The sequence below is a fragment of the Homo sapiens genome, chromosome 8 (genome assembly GCF_000001405.40).
Source record: "Homo sapiens chromosome 8, GRCh38.p14 Primary Assembly".
In the NCBI taxonomy this organism is placed as follows: domain Eukaryota; kingdom Metazoa; phylum Chordata; class Mammalia; order Primates; family Hominidae; genus Homo; species Homo sapiens.
Genome location: NC_000008.11, coordinates 30,637,987 through 30,660,933, shown reverse-complemented (window position 1 = coordinate 30,660,933; position 22,947 = coordinate 30,637,987). Strand labels below are relative to the sequence as shown.

Sequence of the window (22,947 nt, the reverse complement as noted above, 5' to 3'; positions counted from 1 at the left end):
GTATTTTTTAGTAGAGACGGAGTTTCACCATGTTGGCCAGCCTGGTCTTGAACTCCTGACCTCAAGTGATCCGCCTGCCTCGGCCTCCCAAAGTGCTGGGATTACAGGCATGAGCCACCACGGCCGGCCAGAGGTACTTTCAATTTTTCATCTGCCAGGCAGAAAAATGGGGGTGAGGGGTTGCAAAGGGAGCAGCCTCTGGTCCTTTTGTTACTTGGGTGTGGAAAATTAGGGTTTTCCTTTTGATTTAGCTCTTTCTAGGGAGTCAGCGTGAATTGGCCTTAGGTTCTCTGCTTCCAGACCCTATTCTCCTGCCTCAGAATGAATGAAGCCATTGCTTTCAGTGTTAAGACCTAGACACATGCAACAGGCAGTATAAGCAGGAGTTTGTAATGTAATAAGGTTTCCTGGGGTTTGTATGAGAGGGTTTCAATGATATTAATAACAAGAGCTAACTTCTGGGTAAAGGGGACACAATTGAGATTTGAGAGTCTGGATTATAGATAGTACATTCTGATATTATTAGTAGCTTAGCTGTTTCAACTGGCTGAAATGAGTCAAGATATTGACATGAAATTACTCACTGTAAGCGTTTATTGAGCACCTTCTTTGTGAAAGATTTAATTCTGTAAAGATTCTCTAATTGTTAGATTTCTAAGTCTCAAGGGAAGAGATAGTGAATATGTGTCAAAGTTTTATTTAACGCAAGAAATGTAGACCTGCCAAGTGAGAACAGAGACTATTCAGAGCTTGCTATAGCAATAGGGGCAGCGACCACACTTGAGTTTGGCAGAGACTCAAAAGCAATCGGGAAGAGGGGAGACTTTACAGTGGAGGAAAAAAGGGATGCTTCTGATGTGTTCTGATTTAGGGATGTTGGCAGGGGAAGCTGGAAGTTGTCTAACTTGAAGCAGGAAACTTAACAGGATTGGTTTGGGAAGAATATTTGGCTTTCTCTGGCTGATACTGGTGTCTGAGGACAGAGAGGTTAAAATAGAAAAGTTGGCAGCCTTCTTGAGAAAATTCTGACCATTTTGAGCTGATTGCTGTAGAGGTTATGGTTTGGCTTATGTGAGTTAGAGTGTTATTATCATATGCGGTTTAGCCATTGTCCATATGTATAAGTCTCTCACTCATTAATAAGGGAGCCAGCAGAATCATAAAACGGATTTCTACCAGTTCTGAAAAATGATATTTATATAATCGTTGGGGAAAGGAATGCTGAAATAAAACTGCTCAGTTGATACAAAACCGGTTAATTTTTCTCAGAAAAATGCAACCTTAACCTTTGGAATTTTATCTATCTATCTATCTATCTATCTATCTATCTATCTATCTATCTATCTATATACACACTGAATTCCCTGCCCCTTTTTCCCCTAACACCTCATCAGTTTCCTACCAATTGATGTTTGATTTCATCCTTTTGTAAATCTTCTGGGCCCTAATCAATTGTTATTCAAACAAAGTTACATTTCCTGTGGGTGTCAGATGATCAAGTAGGCTTATTACAAAATTCTCTAGAATGAAACTAATAAAAGTCACAAAATATTATCTTTTGACTTTTTTCCAAGTTTTGAATAAAATTTTAGGTATTTTCTCACTTAATTTTCACCACAGTCCAATGCAAGTAACTCATTGTAGTAGTACAATGATTATCCCCATTTCCCCGATGAGAAAACTGAGCCACAGTTTCAGTAACTTGAAGAGTAACCAGTAATTCAACGACAGCCACAGAATGGCTGAGCACTGGCTGTACTGCCGCTTTAGGTTATAAGAGTGAGGGAAGGCCTGCCACGCTGCAGGTTTCGGGCAATGAAATTATTTTTTCCACTGCTTTATTTCCACCCATTTATCTGGCTTCTAAATCCAAAATCCTTTTCTAAGACAGTTCACAGGGGTGGAGGGAAGAGGCTGGGCTGTGCTCCACATCAGGCTGCCTTTGCTAGCTGTGTTGTCTTGAGCAAGTCATTTATTAATTAGCTTCCTGGCCCTCTGTTCTTCGCTTGTAAAAGAGCTGGAACCGCGTTCTCGGTGTGCAGGTGCTGGTGTGTGGCGCTGGGGTAAACTCACAAAATAACCGTTGAGGCCGGGCGCGGTGGCTCACGCCTGTAATCCCAGCACTTTGGGAAGACGAGGCGGGCAAATCGCTTGAATTCAGGAGTTCGAGACCAGCCTGGGCAACATTGTGAGACCCTATTAATACAAACAACAACAACAATAATAACCAAAAATAGTCCGTCGTGGTGGCACTCGCCTGTGATCCCAGCTACTCCGGAGGCTGAGGTGGGAGAATGGCTTGAGCCCAGGAGCGGAGGTTGCAGTGAGCCGAGATCGCGCCACTGCCCTCCAGCCTGGGTGACCGAGTGAGATCACGTCTCTAATAAGAAAAAGACAAAAAACACAAAGTAACCATTGAAAGATAGCGTCGTCGGCTGGGTTCACCACATCCCAGCGCACGCCGGAGCAGGCTGTAGCAGTTTTAATAAAGTGTCTATAAAGAAAGCTGCCTTCCATCTTCAGTGGCGCCGCCTCCCACTTCAGTCCCCTTCTCGGCCCCACCCCAGCCCTTCCCTCGTTGTCATGGAGGCCCCAGGACGCCAGAGCGGGATAGTTCCGCTCCCGCGGCACCAGAGGCGGGGCACGCAATGACGCATGCGCTCGCTTGGCTGCCCTGGCGCCGCGGTGGCTGCCGGGACTGAGCTCCTAGCACCCGATCGGGAAGTGGCGGGCGGAGTCCCGGGTCCAGTCGCCGCCTCAGCTACCGCCGCTGCCGCCGCCGCCGCCGCCACCGCCAGTGGTGAGACCCCGACCTGGCGGGTCAGCGCTGGGCGTGCGTGCGGGCAGGCGGGGGCGCTGACGAGAAGCAGGAAGAGGGTGCAGTGCCGGCGTGGGCGGCCGGCCGAGGCGGAGGCGCAGGAAGGGGGCGGCGAGTCGTGCGAGGCTGCCCTTCTCACTCAGGTAGGGGCTGCGGCCGCCGGGTGTGGGGCGCAGAGCCCCGGCTTGCTGTTCCCTGGGACGCAGGCGCGCCGCCGCCTCCCGGGAGGCTGAGCGTGACCTCCACCTCACGGGAAGCTGGGACCGCCGTTCTCGAAGCGAAACACCCAGCACGCGAACCGTTCCCCGGAGCATTGTCTTTAGGCCAGAGGTTCATTGAGCAAACTTTTGGGTTGGAAAGAGGGAAAATTCGCGGTCTGCCGCCTGACTGTGCCTCTTCCAAGCCTCCAAGTTCACGGGCGCGGTAGCCAAGCGAACCGTGTGTGGAGTTTGAGCAGCCGCGGGGTCCAGCCAGCTCAAGACTGTGATTTAAAATGATGCTCATACGCGGACTGCTTTCTAGGCTACCTTTTGGAGATTTGGTTTGTGATGATCCCTAAACTTTAACGATAGTAGTTGATTTCTGCAGTCTAAACAACGCTGCGGCCCCCTTTTCGCCCACCTCCCCACTTCCGTCATTTAAGGGCGAAGCAGCCTGCTTTTCATAGCCGGGTCCTGAGGTGCCAGGGACACTAACGAGGCTGGGTAAAAGTGAAAGAGAGGGGAAGTAGTAAGGTTGAAAGAGGTCGAATGGTGGCAAGAATCGTGGGCTTGGAGGCAGATTTCAGTTTAATTTTTGGGTTTTCCGTGTCTGCCCACGGAGGAACCAGCCAACTCCTTGAGTTGTGGTTTTGTTTAATTGTAAAATGGACATGGTGATGTAGCCTGTTTACTCCATAGGGGGGTCCAGAGATCTAAAACTTAGTACACATATTGGGTAGTCTTTGAAAAAGGAGGAAAAGTTAGGCGGAGCACGTGATGGTGAAAGACAGACATTGCGAAGCTTTCTGCTCTAGATGCCTTTGAACGTTCCCGAACCTCACAGGTGGCCTTTGTTTTAAAGGCCTTTACCAGCGTTCCAGGTCTGGTGTAAGGAGCACTTGAGTTAGGAGTCAGGAGGTTTGGTTCCTGGCCCTGGCTCTTCCATCTGTGCGACCTTAACCAGACAGCTTCACTTCAGATTTCACGTATTAAAATAGGAATAACACTAATACCTGTTTGCTCCTAGAGTTGCGAGGGTCAAATACTGTAAGCATTTAGTTTGTTGTAAACTGTACGGCTTTATTTACTTTTTTTTTTTTTTTTTTCTGAGACGGAGTCTCGCACTGTCGCCCGGGCTGGAGTGCAGTGGCGCGATCTTGGCTTACTGCAAGCTCCACGTCCCTGGTTCAAGCGATTCTCCTGCCTCAGCCTCCCAAGTAGTTGGGATTACAGGCACCCGCAACGACACCCTGCACATTTTTTAAATTTTTAATGGAGACGGAGTTTCACCATGTTGGCCAGACTCGTCTAGAACTCCTGACCTCGTGATCCGCCCTCCTCGGCCTCCCAAAGTGCTGGGATTACAGGCGTGAGCCGCTGCGCCCGGCCTATTTAAATCTTTTAGAGTAATTTTTTTAAAGTCCAGATTGAGGTCCTGCCTTTGCAACGTGAAATAAGACACAAATGTTTCCTGTTCTAGAAATTTACTTTTTGCTCCCACCTTCTCACTTGACAATTCTCCTTTCTTCTTCTTGGCCCCACGCTTTCCCTCCTCCCAAGGCTGTCTCCTACTTTCCTCAGCCCGGTAAATCATTCCCTTCTTTCAGATCCAACTCAAAATAGTAATACTGAAATAACACGTTTTTATGACTTTACTGTTTAAAAAATAACATACACATTTTCTCATTCTTACAATTGGGCTGGATGTGGACAGCTTTCATAGCGTCCTCATTTCACTTATGAAATTGAATGTAGAGGCCTTGTGGGTTGCCTAGCCAGGTGGCTTTAGGAATTGAAACTGAGGCCGGGTGCGGTGACTCACGCCTGTAATCTAAGCACTTTGGGAGGCTGAGGTGGGCGGATCACTTGAGGTCAGGAGTTCAAGATCAGCTTGGCCAACATGGTGAATGAACCCCGTCTCTACTAAAAATACAGACATTGGCGGGGCGTGGTGCTGCGCGCCTGTAGTCCCAGCTACTCGGGAGGCTGAGCCAGGAGAATCGCTTGAGCCCAGGAGGCGGAGGTTGCATTGAGCCGAGATTGCACCACTGCACTCTGCCAGCCTGGGCGGCAGAGCGAGACTCTGTCTCAAAAAAAAAGAAAAAAAAATTGAAACTGAGAGAAGGCAGGTTTTTGATTCACCGTCCAGTGATTGTTCACGCCTTAATTGAAATTCAGTCTGATTATTTCTTATCAATGCTTATATTTAAAATTTTTAGCTCAATGCTTCCATTTTCTCAAATCTAAGCAGCATGTAGACAAGGATTTATCTTCCGTAACCTTTCAAAGCTTAGAGCACAGTGCCTCACAAACAAGATATTTAATAAAGGCTTGTGAAACCAGTAATAATGGGACCAGAGCAATTTAAAGATGATGTTCCATGTGTTGTTCATTTAACAAATATTTATTGAGCTATCTGTGCTTAAAAGCTTTCAAAGTATGAGTCTTTTTCCTCCCAGCTGACACTAGTCTTAACAGTGTCAAATTCATTTATATAGTCAGCTTGAGGTCTTCATAGACCCTCTGTAGGGTTCTAGCAGAGTTCAGAAGAGAGGTGTGTTTAGAATTCTTGTTGGTTGACCTGTAGCTTCCCTGGTTGTAGTGAAATTGCTTTGAGTTGTAATTTTAGAACTAGACAAACAACAACCACAACATAGAAGTTGCCTCAAACCACCTCCCTCCAAATTGGAAATTTTCTGTAGACTTTTTTTTTTTTTTTGAGACAGAGTTTTGCTGTATCCCCCAGGCTGGAGGGCAGTGGCGGGATCTCAGCTTACTGCAACCTCTGCTGGACTCAAACAGTTCTCGTGTCTCAGCGTTCTGAGTAGCCCGGACTACACGTATGTGTCACTATGACTGGCTAATTTCGTAGAGATAGGGTTTCACTATGTTGCCCAGGCTGGTCTCTCAGCCTCCCAAAGTGCTGGGATTACAGACATGAGCCACTGTGCCCGGCTCTCTGTAGACATTTCTAACAAATAGTATAATAATTCAGCCTCTTCATCACTTAATAATTGAGAGTTCACCAGTTGTAAAAATATGCCATTTTATGTATAAGCAGTTCTGATGGTTCTCTTTTTTTGCAGTGAGCCTAAATCCACCTTCTTCTAATTTCTGCCCTGTAGTCCTCATGTTTCTACAGCAGTGTTGTCCAATAGAAATATAATGGGAGTGGGAAGTGTGAGCCACACGTGTAATTAAAAATATTCTAGGCTGGGTGCAGTGGCTCATGTTTGTAATCCTAGTGCTTTGGGAGACTGAGGTAGGAGGATTGCTTGAGGCCAGGAGTTCAAGACCAGCCTGGGCAACATAGCAAGACCTTGTCTCTAAAAAGTTTTTAAAAAAATTAACTGTGTGTGGTGGCGTGTACCTGTAGTACTAGCTAGTCAGGAGGCTGAGGTGGGAGGATTGCTTGAGCCCAGGAGTTCAAGGCTACATTGAGCTATGATCACACCACTGTACTCCAGCCTGGGCAACACAGTGAGACACTGTCTCTTAATTTTTTTTTAATAGCCATATTTTAAAAGAAAAATTGGTGAAATTAATTTTAACATTTTATTTAACCCAGTATATTCAAAATAGTATCACTTCAACATGTAATTAATGTAAAATATCTCGTTAGTAATTAAATAGTTTTTTTCTTTATACTAAATCTTTGAAATCTTGTGGGTTTTTACACTTGAAAGTCCATCTCAATTTTAACTAGCCACATTTCACATGTTTAATAGGCACATGTGGCTAGTGGCTAATATATTGGACAGCACAGTTCTGGAACTTTAGGGAATAATTCTGTTTCTTTTCTTTCTTTCTTTTTTTTTTTTTTTTTTGAACAAGGGTCTTGGTCTGTCACCCAGGCTAGAGTGCAGTGGCATTATCACAGCTCACTGCAGCCTTGACCTTCCAGGCTGAAGTGATCCTCCCACTTCCGCCTCCCGAGTAGCTGGGACTGTAAGCACACATCACCATGCCTGCCTGATTTTTTGTATTTTTGTAGACAGGAGGTATTACCATGTTGTCCAGGCTGGTCTCCAACTCCTGGGCTCAGGCAGTCTGCCCACCTCGGCTTCCCAAAGTGCTTCAGCCACTATGCCTGGCCTCTTTTTTTCCTATAATGGCTAGTACAGTGCTTGGCGTGTAATAAGCGCTAATGAAATATTTCTTGAGTACTTGAATAAGTGAATAAATGCAAGTGCTAGAGAACTAATAATAAAAGGTAATTTTGTTTGGGAAGTAACTTGTTGAGATCTGTGGATTTGGAGTGCAGGTTTGAGTGACTTGAATTTGTATTAAAGACACTTATTTTTTCTTTGTAGCATTATGGATCCAAGCCTGTTGAGAGAAAGGGAGCTGTTCAAAAAACGAGCTCTTTCTACTCCTGTAGTAGAAAAACGTTCAGCATCTTCTGAGTCATCATCATCATCGTCAAAGAAGAAGAAAACAAAGGTAGAACATGGAGGATCGTCAGGCTCTAAACAAAATTCTGGTTAGTAAAATTGTTTAGGACTGTTTGGTTTTTATTCAGATTATTCAGGAGGAAACCGTTTAGTTATGGCTAGTTCATTTTTCAGTTCAGCACTCATGTTGATAGGCACTTTGTTGAATATAAAGGATGGGACAAGAGAATTTAAGCTCTTAGGATGTTAATAGTCTTGTGCTGTAGTTAAAATTTAGGTTATTACCTCTTTAAAAAAACTTTATTTAGGTTTAATTTACATACCATACAGTTCATTCATTTTAAGTTTACAGTTCAAAGATGTTTGGTAAATTTACAGAATTTTGCAGCTGTTATTACAGTCCAATTTTAGAACATTTCCATCACCCCCAGCAGATCTGATGTGCCCATTTGCAGTGACTTTTCCCATCCCTGCCCCGGAAAACCAATAATCTGCTTTCTGGCTCTGTATATTTGCCTTTTCTGGATATTTCCTATAAATGAAATTGTACAGTAAGTGGTCTTTTGTGTGTTGTTTTTTTCACTTGGCATATTTTTGAGTTCCATCCATGTAGTATGCATCAGTACTTCATTCCATTTTTATTGGTAAAGCGTATTCCATAGTATGGATATATGTACCACAGTTTGTTTATCCATTCACCAATAAACGGTTATTTGGATTATTTTCACTTTTTGGCTGTTTTGAATAGTGTTGGTATGAATATTCATGTACAAGTCTTTGTGTAGACATATCTTTTTATCTCTTTTGGATAGAGACCTAGAAGTAGATTTCTGGGTCATATGTCAAATTTATATTTAACTTGTTAAGAAACTGCTAAAATAGCTGTACCATTTTATATTTCCTCCAGCAATGTATCAGGGTTCTAGTTTTTTCTCATCCTTGCTAACGCTTGAAATTCTGTTTTTTTTTTTTTAATCATAGCTATTTCTATAGTTGTGAAGTTCTATCATTGTGGCTTTAATACGCATTTCCTTAATGAGTAATGATGTTGAACATTGTTTCATGTGCTTATTGACCATGTGTATTCCTTGGTGAAATGTCTATTCAATTTTTTTTTGCCCATAAAAAAAACTGAGGTATATTTCCTCTCTCTATTGATTTAATAATTCTTCATATATTCTGGCTACCATTCTTTGATCTGGTATACATTTGCAAATATTTTCTCCAAGCAAGTGCTTGTCATTTTATCTTCTTAATAGTGTCTTTGTATGTACAAAAGTTTTTAATTTTGATGAAGTCCACCTTACCAGTTTTTTTCTTTTATCATTTGTATTCTTGGTGTCATATCTAAGAAATCTTTGCCTGACACAGGTCATGAAAATTTTTTTCTGTGTTTTCCTCTAAGAGTTTTGTAGTTTTAGCTCCTGCATTTAGGTTTGTAGTATATTTGAGTTGATTTTTGTGTATGGATTAGCATAAGAGTCAAAATTTATCTTTTTGCGTGTTCTTATGAAGTTGTCCCAGCATCATTTTTTGAAATGATGATCTTTCCCCTGTTGAATTATATTGCGCCCTTGTTGAATATTAGTAGACCATAAATCAAAGAGTTTATTTCTGGAGTCTTAGTTTGGTTCCATTGACTTCTGTGTTTATCTTTATGCCAGTATCATTTCTCTTGAGTGCTGTAGCATTGTAATTAAGGTTTGAGACTGAGAAATGTAAGTCCATCAACTTAGTTCTTTTTTATTTCAAGAATTGTTTTAGTTTTTCTGCATAAATTTTAGGGTCAATCTATCAACATTTGCAAAAAAGCCTGCTGGGATTTCCATAGGGATTGAATTGAATCTATAAATCAATTTGGGGAAGAACTGCCATCTTAACAATATTAGATCTTCCAGTCAATGAATAGATGGCTTTTTACAAATTTTTTGTAGAGACAGGATCTTGCTCTGTTGCCCAGGCTGGTCTCAAACTCCTGGCCTCAAGCAATCTTCCTACCTCAGCCTCCCAGAGTGTTGGGATTATAGGTGTGAGTCATTACACCCAGCGGTTATTTTATTCTGATTCAATCTCACTTATGAATGAAATTGTTTTCTTTGATTTTTTTTTTTAAATTGTTCATTGCTAGTATATAGAAACAAGAGTTTTTTTTAATACATTGATCTTGTATTCTGTAACCTGACTGAACTTGTTTTTTATTTCTCGTAGTTTTTTGTGTGGTTTCCCTAGGATTTTCTATGTCAAGATTATGTCATCTGTGAATAAGAACAGTTTTCTTTCTTTCTTTCCGGTGTGAACTTTTTAATTTTTATTTATCTTGCCTGTCTGGACTGGCTGTACATTGAATAGTAAAAGTAGCTACCTTTGCCTTGTTCCTGATCTTAGGGGCAAAGCATTCGGTTTTTCACTCTTACGCATGATATTACTGCAGGTTTTTGTACATGCCCTTTCCAGTTGAAGAAGTTCCTTTCTATTTCTAGTTTGTTGAGAGGTGGTTTTTTTTTTTTTGAGACGGAGTCTTGCTCTGTTGCCCAGGCTGGAGTGCAGTGGCGCAATCTCAGCTCAGTGCAAGCTCCACTTCCCGGGTTCATGCTGTTCTCCTGCCTCAGCCTCCCTAGTAGCTGGGACTACAGGCACCCATCGCCATGGCTGGCTAATTTTTTTGTCTTTTTAGTAGAGATGGGGTTACACTGTTAGCCAGGATGGTCTCGATCTCCTGACCTTGTGATCCACCCGCCTTGGCCTCCCAAAGTGCTGGGATTACAGGCGTGAGCCACCGCACCCAGCCTTTTGTTTGTTTTCTTTCGAGACAGCGTCTTACTCTGTTGCCCAGGCTGGAGTACGGGCATGATCATGGCTCACTGCTGGCGTGATCATGGCTCACTGCAGCCTCGAAACTCCCCAGCTCAAGCAAGCCTCAGTCTCCCGGGTAGCTGAGACTACAAGCACATGCCCACCACATTTGGCTAATTAAAACTTTTTTTTTTTTTTTTTGGTAGAGATGGGGTTTTACTTTGTTGCCCAGGTGGGTCTCAAACTCCCCGCTTCAAGGGATCCATCCCCCTTAGCCTCCCAAAGTGCTGGGATTATAGGCATAAGCTACTGCATCTGACTGAGAGTTTTTAGTCATAAATGGGTACTGGATGTTGTCTGATGCTTTTTATGTATCTAATGAGATGAGCATGTTCTCACTCTTTAGTCTATTAATATGATATATTAACATTAATTGATATTTAGATGTTCAAACAACCTTGCATTTATTCCTGAAATAAATCCTACTTGGTTATGGTGTATAATCATTTTTATTTGTTGTGGTACTCAATTTGCTGGTATTTCGGTCAGGATTTTTGCATCTCTATTCCTGAGGGACTTGATGTGTATGTAGTTTCGTTTTTCTCTGGTGCCTCTCAGGGTAATTCTGGCCTCCTTAAACGATTTGTGAAGTGCTCCCTTTTCACCTATTTTCTGAAAGAGTTTGTGAAACTTTGTTATTTTTTAAAATGTTTGATAGAATTCACTGGTGAAGCCATTTGGGCTTCAGCTTTCCTTTGTGGAAAGCTCTTTGTAAGAATTTTTTCTTTTCAGTTTACTCAGATTTTCTATTTCTTTTTGAGTTACTTTTGGTACTTTGTGGCTTTTTAGAAGTTTATTCATTCATCATTTACATTGTCTGAGGTTTTTCAAAGTACTCCCTTATAATCCTTTTGATATCTATAAAGTCAGTAGTGATATCCCCTCTCATTTTTTTTGAGACGGAGTCTTGCTCTGTCTCTCAGGCCCCCCAGAGTAGCCGGGATTACAGGTGTGTGCCACCACGCTCAGCTAATTTTTGTATTTTTAGTAGAGACAGGGTTTTGCCATGTTGGTCAGGCTAGTCTTGAGCTCCTGACCTCAGGTGATCTGCCTGCCTCAGCTTCCCAAAGTGCTGGGATTACAGGCCTGAGCCACCTCACCCAGTGTCCTCTTTCATTTCTGATTTTAGGAATTTGTCTTTTCTCCCTTTTTTCTTGATGAGTCTAGCTAAAGGTTCATCAATTTTGTTGATTTTTTTCAAAGAACCAACCTTTGGTTTCATTGGCTTTTCTGTTTTGGTTTTTGTTTGTTTGTTTGTTTGTTTTTATTTCCACATCAGTATTTATTATTTCCTTCCTTCTGCTTGCTTTGGGTTTAGTTTACTCTTACATTATTATCTTTTAAACAATGTCAGTGGAACTTAATTCACAGCTGAAATTATTTAGCTACTTCAAATTGTAGCAATAATAATTTTTATTGATGTTAATTTTTTACACATCCTACAAGCTGTTTTATAACTGATTTGGAAGCAAAGCTTTTTTAAAAATCAAAGTAGGCCTGTCATTCTTATAATATATATTAGGTTTATATGTCGTTCCAATGAAATGTACATAGAATTAACTCATCATAAACAAAAATGTAAAAACTGTTTTAAACATTAACATAGCCACTCTCAGGCTTAAGCCACTTGAGCCTTTGACCTGCTCAAGAATGTCTTTGCATTTTGTAGTTTAGGCTACAGGTATTGGGTAGCGAATTTCATCTTCCCCACAAACAGGTCCCATTCGACAGCAGGAAGAGCCCTTGTAGGGTTTTACTTCTCTTTGGTTGGCCAGGGTTTTCCCTAACAGTCAGGGTAGGATAAACTGTGTTGTGGTAACAATCCCAAAAATCTCAGTTTCTTAAAACAACAGAAGCTTGTTTCTCCTTCATACTACATGTTTATCATGGATTGGTAGAAGTCTTAGCTAGTTATAGTCACTCAAGGACCCAGGCTGGCAGAGCAGCTGGAAGCTCAAATGTTTGTGAGTTCTGTGCTAGCAGGAAAACTAACTCTGGAAGAGCTTGCACTAGCAGTTAAGTGCTGTGGCCTGAAGGTGACACATGTCACATCCTCTCACAGCTCATTGGCCAGAGTTAGTCACAAGTCACTCATTGGCCAAAGTTATGTTCCCAGCCATAGGGGGCTCTGAAGTGAATGCTTTCCTTAATGAAGAGAGCTGGAAATATTGGGTGTAACAACTAAAGGCTACCATGCCACTCTAGTTCAGGCCACGGTCATTGGATTGCTAGGTTAGCTGTTGACCAGGTCTCCTGGTTTAGCTGCTTTAGTGTTCATTCTTCATACAGCTGTGATTTTTCTCATTAGATCATGTTGCTTTCAGCTCAAGCTGATTGTTACTGTTTTTCAGATAAAGTCCATGTTTTACTGCAGCCTGCGTGCCTGCCTCATCTGGCCTCTAATTATCTCTTAGGTGTGGTATCATACTGTTCTCCTTGTACTCTGTCCTAGTGATACTGACTTGTAGCTCCTCCAACATGCTTTATTCTCTCTTGCCTCTTGGCTTTTATTCGTATTATTTCTTCTTCCTGGAATATTCTTTCTTACCTCCTACCCTCTTTTGGTTCTGTCCTGTTCTTTTAAGTTTCAGCTTAAAAGTCATATTATTCTCATTCTTCAGTGTGAATTCACTGTATAACCTTTGAGTTCCCATATCACTACTCTTTTTGACAGAGCTTCCAATGTGCTCCATTGTAGTGACGTGGTTCCTTGTTTGCCACTCTGCCCTCAGTATCTGGCCTAATTGCTGACATGTAGTAAGCACTCAGTAAATATTTGTTGGATGACTAAATAATTACAGGATAGGGTGGGGGAGAAAGTTGGTAATGTACACTATTAAAAAATCTGATTATTAAAGGACTTGTATACTTACCATCTATTGCCAAGAATCCAACGTTTGTGAAAATGTATATGGTTTTAACAGTGCTCAGTTCCTGGTTTCCAAAGTATTTTATATATCCAAGCTTCACAAATCCTTTTAAAGTTGGTTATATTATTTGTGTTTGTTTCTAATGTGAGAATAAATATAAAAAATACTTTGTGGAAGAGTTATTTCAGACCGGCAGTTAAGATTCTTTTGTTTGTTTGAGACGGAGTTTCACTCTTGTTGTTCAGGCTGGAGTGCGATGGCATGATCTCAGCTCACTGCAACCTCTGCCTCCCAGGTTCAAGTGATTCTGCCTCAGCCTCCCAAGTAGCTGGGATTACAGGGGCCCCATTCCCATGTCTGGCTAATTTTTTTGTATTTTTAGTAGAGATGGGGTTTCACCATGTCAACCAGGCTGGTCTCGAACTCCTGACCTCAGGTGATCCACCTGCCTCGGCCTTGCAAACTGCTAGGATTGCAGGCGTGAGCCACCGCGCCCAGCCGATATTCTTTAAATTGAAAAGAACAGATTTCCTCTCTTCACCACACAGTTATTTATTGCACACAAAAAATTCCATCAGTAATAGAGATTTAAAAAAAGTCTTTTATAATACCTAGTGCTTTTTTTTGTCCCCACAGCCCTCTTAATATACCAGCTATTCTAATTCTCCATATTTGTTTTCAAACCTTACTCATGTGTATATTTATAATATCAATAATTGTATTAAAACTTTTATATGGTGAATTTATTTTTTACTTTTAAATACTTGTCTATCTTGCCAGACTTTTCGGTTGCTTTTTTTTTTTTTTTTTTTTTTTTTTGAGACGGAGTCTTGCTCTGTCACCCAGGCTAGAGTGCATTGGCATCATCTCGGCTCACTGCAACCTCTGCCTCCTGGGTTCAAGCAGTTCTCCTGCCTCAGCCTCCCGAGTAGCTGGGATTATAGGTGCCCACCACCATGCCCGGCTAACTTTTGTATTTTTAGTATAGACGGGGTTTCACCATCTTGGCCAGGCTCGTCTTGAGCTCCTGACCTTGTGATCCATCCGCCTTGGCCTCCCAAAGTGCTGGGATGACAGGCATGAGCCACTGTGCCTGGCCTTCAGTTGCTTTTTAATAATTCATTAAGTTGATGTGCCACATTTAGTTAAAGTCTTAGTTATTTTCAATTTTTTGTTATTTTGAGTAATGCCATTGTAAAAAATCTTTGTACCTTGAGCTTGTACATTTGAACTAAGTGCTTAGGATACATTTCCAGGAGTGGCATTTCTGACTTAGGGGTAGTGTGGTGGTTAAGAGCATGCTTTTGTTTGCTCATGGGTGATAGCAAAATAGTGTTAGGGTCACAAAATATCTATATAGCCCTTGGAATTCCAAGAAATAAAACTGCCATATTTCAACAGGTGTTGAGTGGCCCTATCTTTTGACCTTTTTTGGGGGGATGGGGGGAGGGGCAGTCTTTCTGCCTTGGTTATCTTAGCCTTTGAGAGTATAAATAAGAGAGGTAAAATGAAAGAACAAACTCAGGAAATGAAGGGGTGTAGTAGTAAGTTTTAGTTTGAAAATAGACTAGGCCTTTCCTATATCATGCATTTCTAACTAAACAGTAAGTCAGTTTTGTGAGAATTTTGTGCAAATATACTTGTGGCATTTTTGATTATTTTGAGACTTTTTCATACTAATCCTACATAAAACTCAAGTCATTATATATTTATATAAGTTGTTTTCAGTAAATTAGAAAATACTACTTTTTAATAAATAGGAACTTTATATATATAAGTGGAAGTATTTTACTTCAGACTTAGAAACATGTTTTAAATAGCCTTTTTGTTACCAACACACTATTTTTTGTCTACATGAATTGGTTAGTTATAAAATCATTTTAGCATCATTAGCCTTGCTTGTCTTTTCCAGCTTATCTTTTGCTGCTTAATATTGAACTCTAGGAATCTTTTATCCAGTTTTTGAAGTGTCAGTATTAAACAGATTAGTAAATTCACATTCATGAAGTTTTACTGTATATTTAATGAAATGGCTATACACACAAACAGTGCATGTTTAACTTTTTTTTCCCCTTCTACTAGAAATGTTTTAACCATTCAGTCAGAATTTGTTTTGTAGCAACAGTTGGCCTCAGAATATATTTTTTTTCTCAGAAGAGGTTGAGCTGCTTTCAGAGATTTTGTTCATCTTCTATAGAGTGTTAGACCACTTCAGTTTCACGTTTTCTGATGTTGTCCATCATACTTCTAAGAGGGTTGGGTTCACTTTTCAAGTCTTTCACGGTTTTGTTTTTTACACAGCAGCAGCAGTCAAGCACTTCATAAAGGAAAGCCAGCACCACTAAAGATACCACTGTAAATATAAATAAAAGCAGGATGACAAAGCAGGCAGTGTTCCAGTTGTCATGGAAAGGGTAAATTTTTTGAACTTGAAAACCAAGGTACTGATAAACAGAGGTAGTGGTTTCATTCCAGTGGCTGGAAGCCATTCTTAGAGATTCCACTTGCTCTTTTGAATCTATAAAAAAGGTAGAAAATGAATTTATGTAGCAAACTACAGATCTGTTAATTCAAATCTCAGTACTAAGATTTCTTAGTAAATTTGTATAGGCAACATGAATCTTCCTTAATTAATGCCTAAATGGTAGTTTTGAATTTTTTTGTATATCTGGGCCAACGTCCTTAGTCAACCATACCCTGTTTTTTAACATATATTATTTGCTAGATGAATATGTATATTTAAGATTCAGGCCAGGCATGGTGGCTCACGCCTGTAATCCCAACACTTTGGGAGAGTGATGTGGGCAGATCACTTGAGCCCAGGAGTTCAAGACCAGCCTGGTCAACATGGCGAAACCCGTCTCTACAAAACATACAAAAATTAGCCAGGCATGGTGGTGTGTGCCTATAGTCCCAGCTGCTTGGGAGGCTAAGCCGGGAAGATTGCTTGAGCCAGGGAGGCGCAGGTTGTGGTGAGCTAAGATCGTGCCACTGCATTCTAGCCTGGACAATGGGAATGAAACCGTTTCTCAAAAAAAAAAAAAAAAATTCATATACCGAAATTAACTGCTAATGGAAGGGGAAAAGGCAGCTGAATTGGTTTAAAACTTGATTAAAGCAGTGGTCAGTGAGCTGTTATCTACAAAAAACCTTGGCGTTTTAAGGTTATGTTCTTCAAACTGCCCCTGGAAAAGCTTTTATCATTAGCCTTGTGGATTCTTCTTACCTTTTTGGTTCAGTGTATTTCTGTCTCCTGTTTCCCCTTCTTTAAACTTCGATGACAGGTGATCTGAATCAGAAATAGTGGCTGAGTGAAAAATAGTAGAGAAAGAAAACCAAATAATGCCAATTTTCAGAATGAGGATAATAAAATTTTAGGTTAGAGTGATCTGTGAAGAGACCCTAATCTTGGGGTTATAAATGATAGTCTTAAGTGTTTCGTATACCTGAGTGACCCATAGACATAAATATTTAAAAAAACAGACAAATTCAGCCCTCCCAAAGGTATCAGTTATTATTCCATTTCACAAAAGAAGCTGGTGAGTTCAAGTTTCAGTATTCTTGAATTAAGTTTAGCTCTTGTTGACCTGGTACTTGTTAGCTCTTAAATGGGGACTGTTAGAATCAAAGATTTGTCAGTATGGAACTATAGTAATGAGGAACTAAATTAGTTTTTACTGTCTTGATCTCTAACAAATATTTTAACATTTAGTTTTAAAAATTATAAGATAACCTGTGCACTAAGAACATTTTGGAAATAAGAGAAAAAATGTAGTTCTACTTCATTAATTTATCGGTTGTCATTCTGTATGCTTTTCCTTTACTACATAGTTGTAAACAGGATTTTATTTTTATAACAAATGTTTATTGATTACCTAATGTGTACCAAATATTTTTGTAAATTCTGGAGATACCTTTTGTGTGAGAGTGTTTCATTTAACGAAAACTACAAAGTAGTATGAACCCCATGTACTTTTTTTTTTTTCTTTCTTACTAGCCTTGCAGATGCAGGGCCTCAAAAATTGGGTTAAGACTTAGAATTATTACTCTCTGAAGAAATCTTTAGTAAAAGGTGAGAGATTTGTATGATCTGAAGAGAAACCAGAGTATCCCATGTACTGTCTTTTTTTTTTTTTTTTTAGGCAGAGTCTTGCTCTGTTGCCCAGGCTGGAGTGCAATGAATGATGCAATCTCAGCTCACTGCAACCTCCGCCTCCTGGGTTCAAGTGATTCTCCTGCCTCAGCCTCCTGAGTAGCTGGGATTACAGGCATGTGCCACCACACCTGGCTAATTTTTGTATTTTTAGTAGAAACGGGTTTTACCATGTTGGTCAGGCTGGTCTCAAACTCCTGACCTTGTGATCCACCTTCCTTGGCCTCCTGAAGTGCTGGGATTACAGGCGTGAGCCACTGCGCCTGGCCTCCCATGTACTTATAATGCAACTTCATTCATCAACTCTTGGCCCATCTCTACCTGTACCTGTTTGCTTCCACCCCATTGGTTGTTTTAAAGCAAATTCAAGGCATCGTTCACCTAGAAATATTTCAATATATATCTCCCAATGGTGAGGACTCTATTTTTAAACATAACCACAATATTGTTTTCACACCCCAAACTCAAAGCCATAACAATATAATTCCTTAAATTTTTTTGTTTTCTTAATAAAATCTTTGGGGTTGATAAAATTATGTTTTCTAAGGTTTTTGTTTTCTTAGGTTTGCTTGGTAAGTCACTTCACCTCTCTGGATGGACTTGCCTCCTTTTTTCCTGCATTTTGAAGGAAAATGCACATTGCACTCCAGCGTGGGCAACAAGAGTGAAACTCCCATTTCCAAAAAAGAGATATCTCATCTACTTTTGAGGTATAAGTGAACTGCTTAAAATATTTTCAGGTCCCCTTACCTCAAAAATAAATAGAAAGAGGCAGTCAGGAAGGCAGACAGATACATAACTAAATTCAGTTATTTGAGGTTTAACTTGTATCCATTAATGAGCTATTCTTCTGGTTAAATTAATATAGTTTATTCACACAATTGAATCATAGGTAACTGAGTTTTAGGAAAGATATTTAGGATATGTTCTTAAGTGAAAAGAACAAGGTGTAGGATAGTGTATATAGGAAGAGGGAAAACATATACTCTTATTTGCTTGTATCTGCAGAGAAATCTTAGAAAGACCTACAAGAAATTAATCACAATGATGGTGTGGATGGGGATCCATCGGGAGGAGAGTGAGGCACAGGGATATGTTTGAGGCTTCTTAACCTGTACCTTGTGTTCTTTTGTTTTTTCAACAATTTAAATATATTATTTATTTGAAACCAAAGTAAATCATCTATTTTAAAAAGAGAAATAAAAAGCACTATTCCTTATTCTTGGCTCTCTTAAAAGTCTATTGTTAGCCAACAATATGGATTAGTATGGAGTAACCATTCTTTTATTCCTGCTTATGGAGTAGTATGGAGTAACCATTCTTTTATTCCTTTCCTTTTTTTTTTTTTTGGCTTTTCTCCTTTAATTCAAAAAGATAAAATCCCTTTGTGCTTTCAAAATGTAACACATCTAGTTAAATCAGCTGTCAATATTGACTTATTTAATGCACTGTAATACAAAACGTTAGCCTAATAAAACTTCTAAAGTGCTGCTGAGTATTCCTTTGCTTTCTTAATAAACTTACTTTCACTTAAAAGAGCCTGTTGTTTATGTATCTATTTAATACATTTATTGAGTATTCTGGATTCCAAAAAATTCAAATTGGGATTAGGAAACACTGTCATTTTTGTTAGACTGTATACTTTATTCACACATAAAAATGCTTTTAATAATTATGCTTGGCTGGGTGCTGTGGCCTATGCCTTCACCCCCACACTTTGGGAGGCTGAGGCAGGAGGATCACTTGAGCACAGGAGTTTGTTTTTGGTTTGAGACAGAGTCTCGTTCTGTCACCCAGGCTGGATGGCAGTGGCACAATCTTGACTCACTGCAACCTCTGCATCCTGGTTCAAGTGATTCTCCTGCCTCAGCCTCCCGAATAGTTGGGATTACAGGTATGTACAGTCACACCCAGCTAATTTTTGTCTTTTTAGTAGAGATGGGGTTTCACCATGTTGGCCAGGGTGGTCTTGAACCCCTGACGTCAGGTAATCCACCCACCTTGGCTTCCCAAAAGTGCTGGGATTACGGGCATGAGCCACCGCGCCTGGCCAAGCCCAGGAGTTTGAGACCAGCCTGGGCAATGTGGGGAGGCCCTGTCTCTACAAAAATAAAAATTAGCTGGGCATGATAGCCTGCGCCTGTAGTCTCGGCTACTTGGGAGGCTCAGGTGGGGGGATAGCTTGAGCCTAGGAGGTTGAGGTTGCAGTGAGCTGTGATTTCTCCATTGCACTCCCGCCTGGGTGATAGAGTGAGACCCTGTCTCAAAAAAACCAAACCAAAACAAATTACGCTTTTAATAATAACTATAGGTAACACCATAGGCCACCTCCAAAGGCACTTACATGCTTTGCTGGAAGTGTCTAAGCAGTTTAAGAAAGTGTATAGGTCAGGTTTATGTTGTAAATGATGATGATTTGTCTTGTGAGTGTATTGATAACCGAGCGGCTCAAAACATTCATTGTTTGTTAGCTTCTGGGCATATCTGAAAAAAGTAAACTCTCTAATATGGAGTCATTTTCCACCTTAAATTTAGTGTGGCATGTTCTTTCAAAGTGTGGTAGAGCTCTAGTAACTTTTGATGTTTAATTTAGGGTAAAGGCTAAATCTTACTTTCATGGATTAGGCATAATTAAGCATGCAGAAAGAAATATACCATTAGGCCTGTAATCCTAGCACTCTGGGAGGCTGAGGCAGGCAGATCACCTGAGGTCATAAGTTCAAGACTGGCCTGACCAACATGGCGAAACTCCGTCTCTGCTAAAAACACAAAAATTAGCCAGTTGTGGTGGCGGGTGTGTGTAATCCCAGTTTCTCAGGAAGCCAAGGCAGGAGAATCTCATGAACCTGGGCGGCAGAGGTTGCAGTGAGCCAAGATTGCGCCACTGCACTCTAGCCTGGGCGATAGAGTGAGACTCCGTCCCCCCGCCAAAAAATAGAAATACATCATTAGGATTTTCTCCTATCCTGCGACTTAGTTTTGAAATTAAAATGTAAGTTTATATTAAGCAAATGCTGTAAACATTCTTTATGAAAAGCAAGAGAAAATGGTGTATATAAAAAAAGGTAAAACAATCTTTTTCTGGACTTCCCTACCCATGCCTTAAAATTTGATTACAGGAATGGGGAGCTTTAAAGTAAATCACATAATTTTTTTTTAGCATATGTGTTTTAGTTTTGTTTTATGTTAATTTTGGTATGTTTACTCCCATTTGATATGTTTACTCCCATTTTGATATGTTTACTCCCATTTGATATGTTTACTCCCAAAGGCCCCAGTGCAGTGTTAATGGGGATGGGACTTGGAACTGTTCTGGAACCTTTGGGTTGCCAGATGAGAATAAAGTTATGCTTTTGCTGTATTTATGGTAAAAGCCTTTGAATTGAATTCTCAGGTGCTTTTAAGCATATCACTTTGAAATGTGATCAGTTAATCCTAATAGCCTGTAAATATAGAGCAACTCACTTAATTTAAGCTCTGGAACTTAGGCCATGTCTCCAGTCAGTTTGGTGAAACAGCAATGAGCCTCCATCTGTGCTAACAATAGACATATTCCAAGCAAAATGCAGGCTGATGATAGAGTGTTAAAACAATGTGGGTGGTAGGGGTTTCTGTTGACAGTTTACCTGAAATTTGATTTGTAAGTTAACTGTTTTATTTGACAAAGTTATTTTTATTTTATCTGAGACTTTTGTTTGGTGCTTCTGTACTTTCTGTAGCAAGCACAAATGGTTTCTAGATAATTAACCCCACTGTGCTGAACCTGGACAGATCTAGTATCTTATTACAGCAACCTTTGGGTTTTGCAGGGGATACTTTGCTCAGGCTAGCTGAATGCCGACTAAGAAAAGGAATAGAAATTATGAAGAAAAAAAAAACAAAAACCCTTTAAAGATTAAATAAACTTACCAGCAAGGTAAAAGGACAGAAGCTGGCTCTTTAGGTCCGATATAGTATATAGATGGAGTTCTAACATCTAGTAAATAACTAAATTTTCATGCTTGAATAGTATAAAATTAGAAATTTGGTCAGCAGTTAATATTAATTTTTAATAGACATGAATGATTGCTCTGAGCCACGAAGATAATCTTGTTACCTAGAAAGGTACTTACTCTCCTTTCTTAACCAGTTCTTCTTAGGACATATTTTTATTTTAAAATGCAGTTTATCAAAAGGACTTACTTTGTATTTATTTTGAGGATCAGTTTAAGAATGACTTCAACATTATATTTAAATGGTGTGATAAATTGATATCAAAAATGAAAGGCTATTTAAGAAGGTTTTTGTTTAATAGCATGACTTTATATTACGAGAGAGAAATTTCACAGTGAAGAAATACTTTAATTAAATGTTAAGGAAGTCTGAAGCTGTATAAATTATCTGTTCAGTGTAGTATAATGCAGCCCATATAGTGATACCTTTTATGATCTTTTATATAAAAATTAAAATTGTGATAATTTCTTGGCATTCTCTGCATCTACATTCAAAGCAAAATAAAAATAATTTTGAACTATTTTCTCATATTCTAAAAAATATAACAAACTTTCTTATAAGTAACTATTTTTTAGCAGCCAATATCATTTGCACATAGAATCAGAAAGCTTTAGTCTGGAATTCGCTTTTGATCTGGGTTTTTCTTTAAGAAAAATCCTTTGTTAAGACAGACCAAACTGCAGAAATGAAATCGCTCAGAGAAAATGAAATTAGCAAGTAACCAGTTAAAATAAAAAGCTATGGTTTACTCTGAGGTCTGGATATAGATCAGGTTCATGTAAAATGTAATGAATTTTCCATTAAGGCACAGATGGTAAGGGTGCTTATCAAATAGCACAAGGCAGTCTTCATATTTTCATAATAAAATCCTACCAAGCGGTGAAACGAATACATTGCTTTTTCTTGATATTTAGTAGGAGCAAAGCTTTCTGGTTGATTTTTCAGGGTAAAATATTTTCCTATTGCATCATAAGGACATGTACCACTAAATAAAAAAGATCATATAAACCTACCTCTTGTCTGAGAGGATGCTGCTGAAGCGATGGTATCGTCTGTTTGTAATGCAGTCTAGTGCACAGCCAAGATGGAGCTGTGCTTCTATTGGTTGAACCACAATGGAGCTGACAGTTTCCTCTATGTTCATTTGCATTAAGTCTTGCCACCCTTAAGAGTAAATCATTCATAAACTTGAATAGAGCTGTCTGGGGTATCAACTGTCATCCCTTCTCCTTTATTTTTTTGTTCTTAAGCTAAATTCCTATATAGGAATTTGTGAGTTACTAACAAATTGATGATTCTTTAGTGTTTCATTATAAAATTTCAGATCCTTCAGTGAATACTTCAGTGCTAGGGCTGGAAGATAATGTCGGGAAAGGTAGTAACCTAGGAAACAAACAGTCCAGGTTTGCCAGCCTGATATTTCCTTCAGGAAGTGTGCATAAAATCTTATAAATTTTTCTTGTTCTTCCTTTTCTTTCATTACTTGTTCCGTATATAATTTTTGCACTCTGGAAGTGATTATTTCCATGTGGTGGTTTGATTTAGGAGGAATTATGAAGGAAAATAATTGGCTTTTAGCTCTGCAAGTTGGAAGAGGGCTCATTTAGGTAAATACACTACCTGCATTCAAAAAATAGTCTCTAAAATGTAAATGGCAAAGTGATCT

The 22,947-nt window shown here is 39.8% G+C and overlaps 2 protein-coding genes and 1 pseudogene across 10 annotated transcripts in view, besides 5 other annotated features; 1 reads left to right on the top strand and 2 right to left on the bottom strand.

Annotated features, from left to right (window-relative positions):
* Positions 2,155–2,826: an enhancer, noted in NCBI's record as "H3K27ac-H3K4me1 hESC enhancer chr8:30515625-30516296 (GRCh37/hg19 assembly coordinates)". NCBI's record gives its function as "activates a minimal SCP1, AML or CMV promoter by ChIP-STARR-seq in naive H9 embryonic stem cells {active_cell/tissue: H9 hESC(naive)}" and the evidence as "EXISTENCE:reporter gene assay evidence [ECO:0000049][PMID:30033119]".
* Positions 2,155–3,013: a biological region, named in NCBI's record as "H3K27ac-H3K4me1 hESC enhancer GRCh37_chr8:30515625-30516296".
* Positions 2,604–3,013: a silencer, noted in NCBI's record as "silent region_19081". NCBI's record gives its function as "represses an Ori minimal core promoter by ATAC-STARR-seq in GM12878 lymphoblastoid cells {active_cell/tissue: GM12878}" and the evidence as "EXISTENCE:reporter gene assay evidence [ECO:0000049][PMID:35858748]".
* Positions 2,698–22,947, top strand: part of GTF2E2 (general transcription factor IIE subunit 2) — a 79,919-nt gene continuing 59,669 nt past the window's right edge. For 3 of the 7 annotated variants that reach the window (NM_002095.6, XM_011544509.3, XM_011544510.2), the window contains exons 1-2: positions 2,698–2,961; positions 7,332–7,501. In NM_002095.6, coding sequence (NP_002086.1) covers positions 7,336–7,501 — 166 coding nt within the window. In that variant the 5' untranslated portion in view covers positions 2,698–2,961; positions 7,332–7,335. Of the gene's footprint in view, positions 2,962–3,315; positions 3,360–5,749; positions 5,859–6,952; positions 7,232–7,331; positions 7,502–22,947 lie in introns of those variants that run through there. The other 4 variants (XM_017013364.2, NM_001348353.1, XM_017013363.2 and 1 more) reach the window with 3 other exon arrangements.
* Positions 3,024–3,113: a silencer, noted in NCBI's record as "silent region_19080". NCBI's record gives its function as "represses an Ori minimal core promoter by ATAC-STARR-seq in GM12878 lymphoblastoid cells {active_cell/tissue: GM12878}" and the evidence as "EXISTENCE:reporter gene assay evidence [ECO:0000049][PMID:35858748]".
* Positions 3,498–4,169: an enhancer, noted in NCBI's record as "H3K27ac hESC enhancer chr8:30514282-30514953 (GRCh37/hg19 assembly coordinates)". NCBI's record gives its function as "activates a minimal SCP1, AML or CMV promoter by ChIP-STARR-seq in naive H9 embryonic stem cells {active_cell/tissue: H9 hESC(naive)}" and the evidence as "EXISTENCE:reporter gene assay evidence [ECO:0000049][PMID:30033119]".
* Positions 14,870–22,354, bottom strand: SMIM18 (small integral membrane protein 18). Of its 3 annotated transcripts, none has more exons than NM_001206847.2 (3): positions 22,295–22,354; positions 16,362–16,442; positions 14,870–15,653 (listed from the first exon to the last, which is right to left on the bottom strand). In NM_001206847.2, exon 3 carries the CDS (start codon positions 15,622–15,624, stop codon positions 15,337–15,339), a length of 288 nt encoding a protein of 95 aa, NP_001193776.1. In that variant the 5' UTR covers positions 15,625–15,653; positions 16,362–16,442; positions 22,295–22,354; the 3' UTR covers positions 14,870–15,336. The 3 variants fall into 3 exon arrangements, with proteins under 3 accessions (NP_001193776.1, XP_016868432.1, XP_024302818.1); XM_017012943.2 differs by having other exon boundaries at positions 16,362–16,424; XM_024447050.2 differs by having other exon boundaries at positions 16,362–22,354.
* RNU5A-3P (RNA, U5A small nuclear 3, pseudogene) lies at positions 17,132–17,245 on the bottom strand (annotated as a pseudogene).

Excerpts from the sequence above, each read along its gene's own strand:
- SMIM18 (XM_024447050.2), bottom strand. The coding sequence starts at position 15,624 with ATGGCTTCCAGCCACTGGAATGAAACCACTACCTCTGTTTATCAGTAC.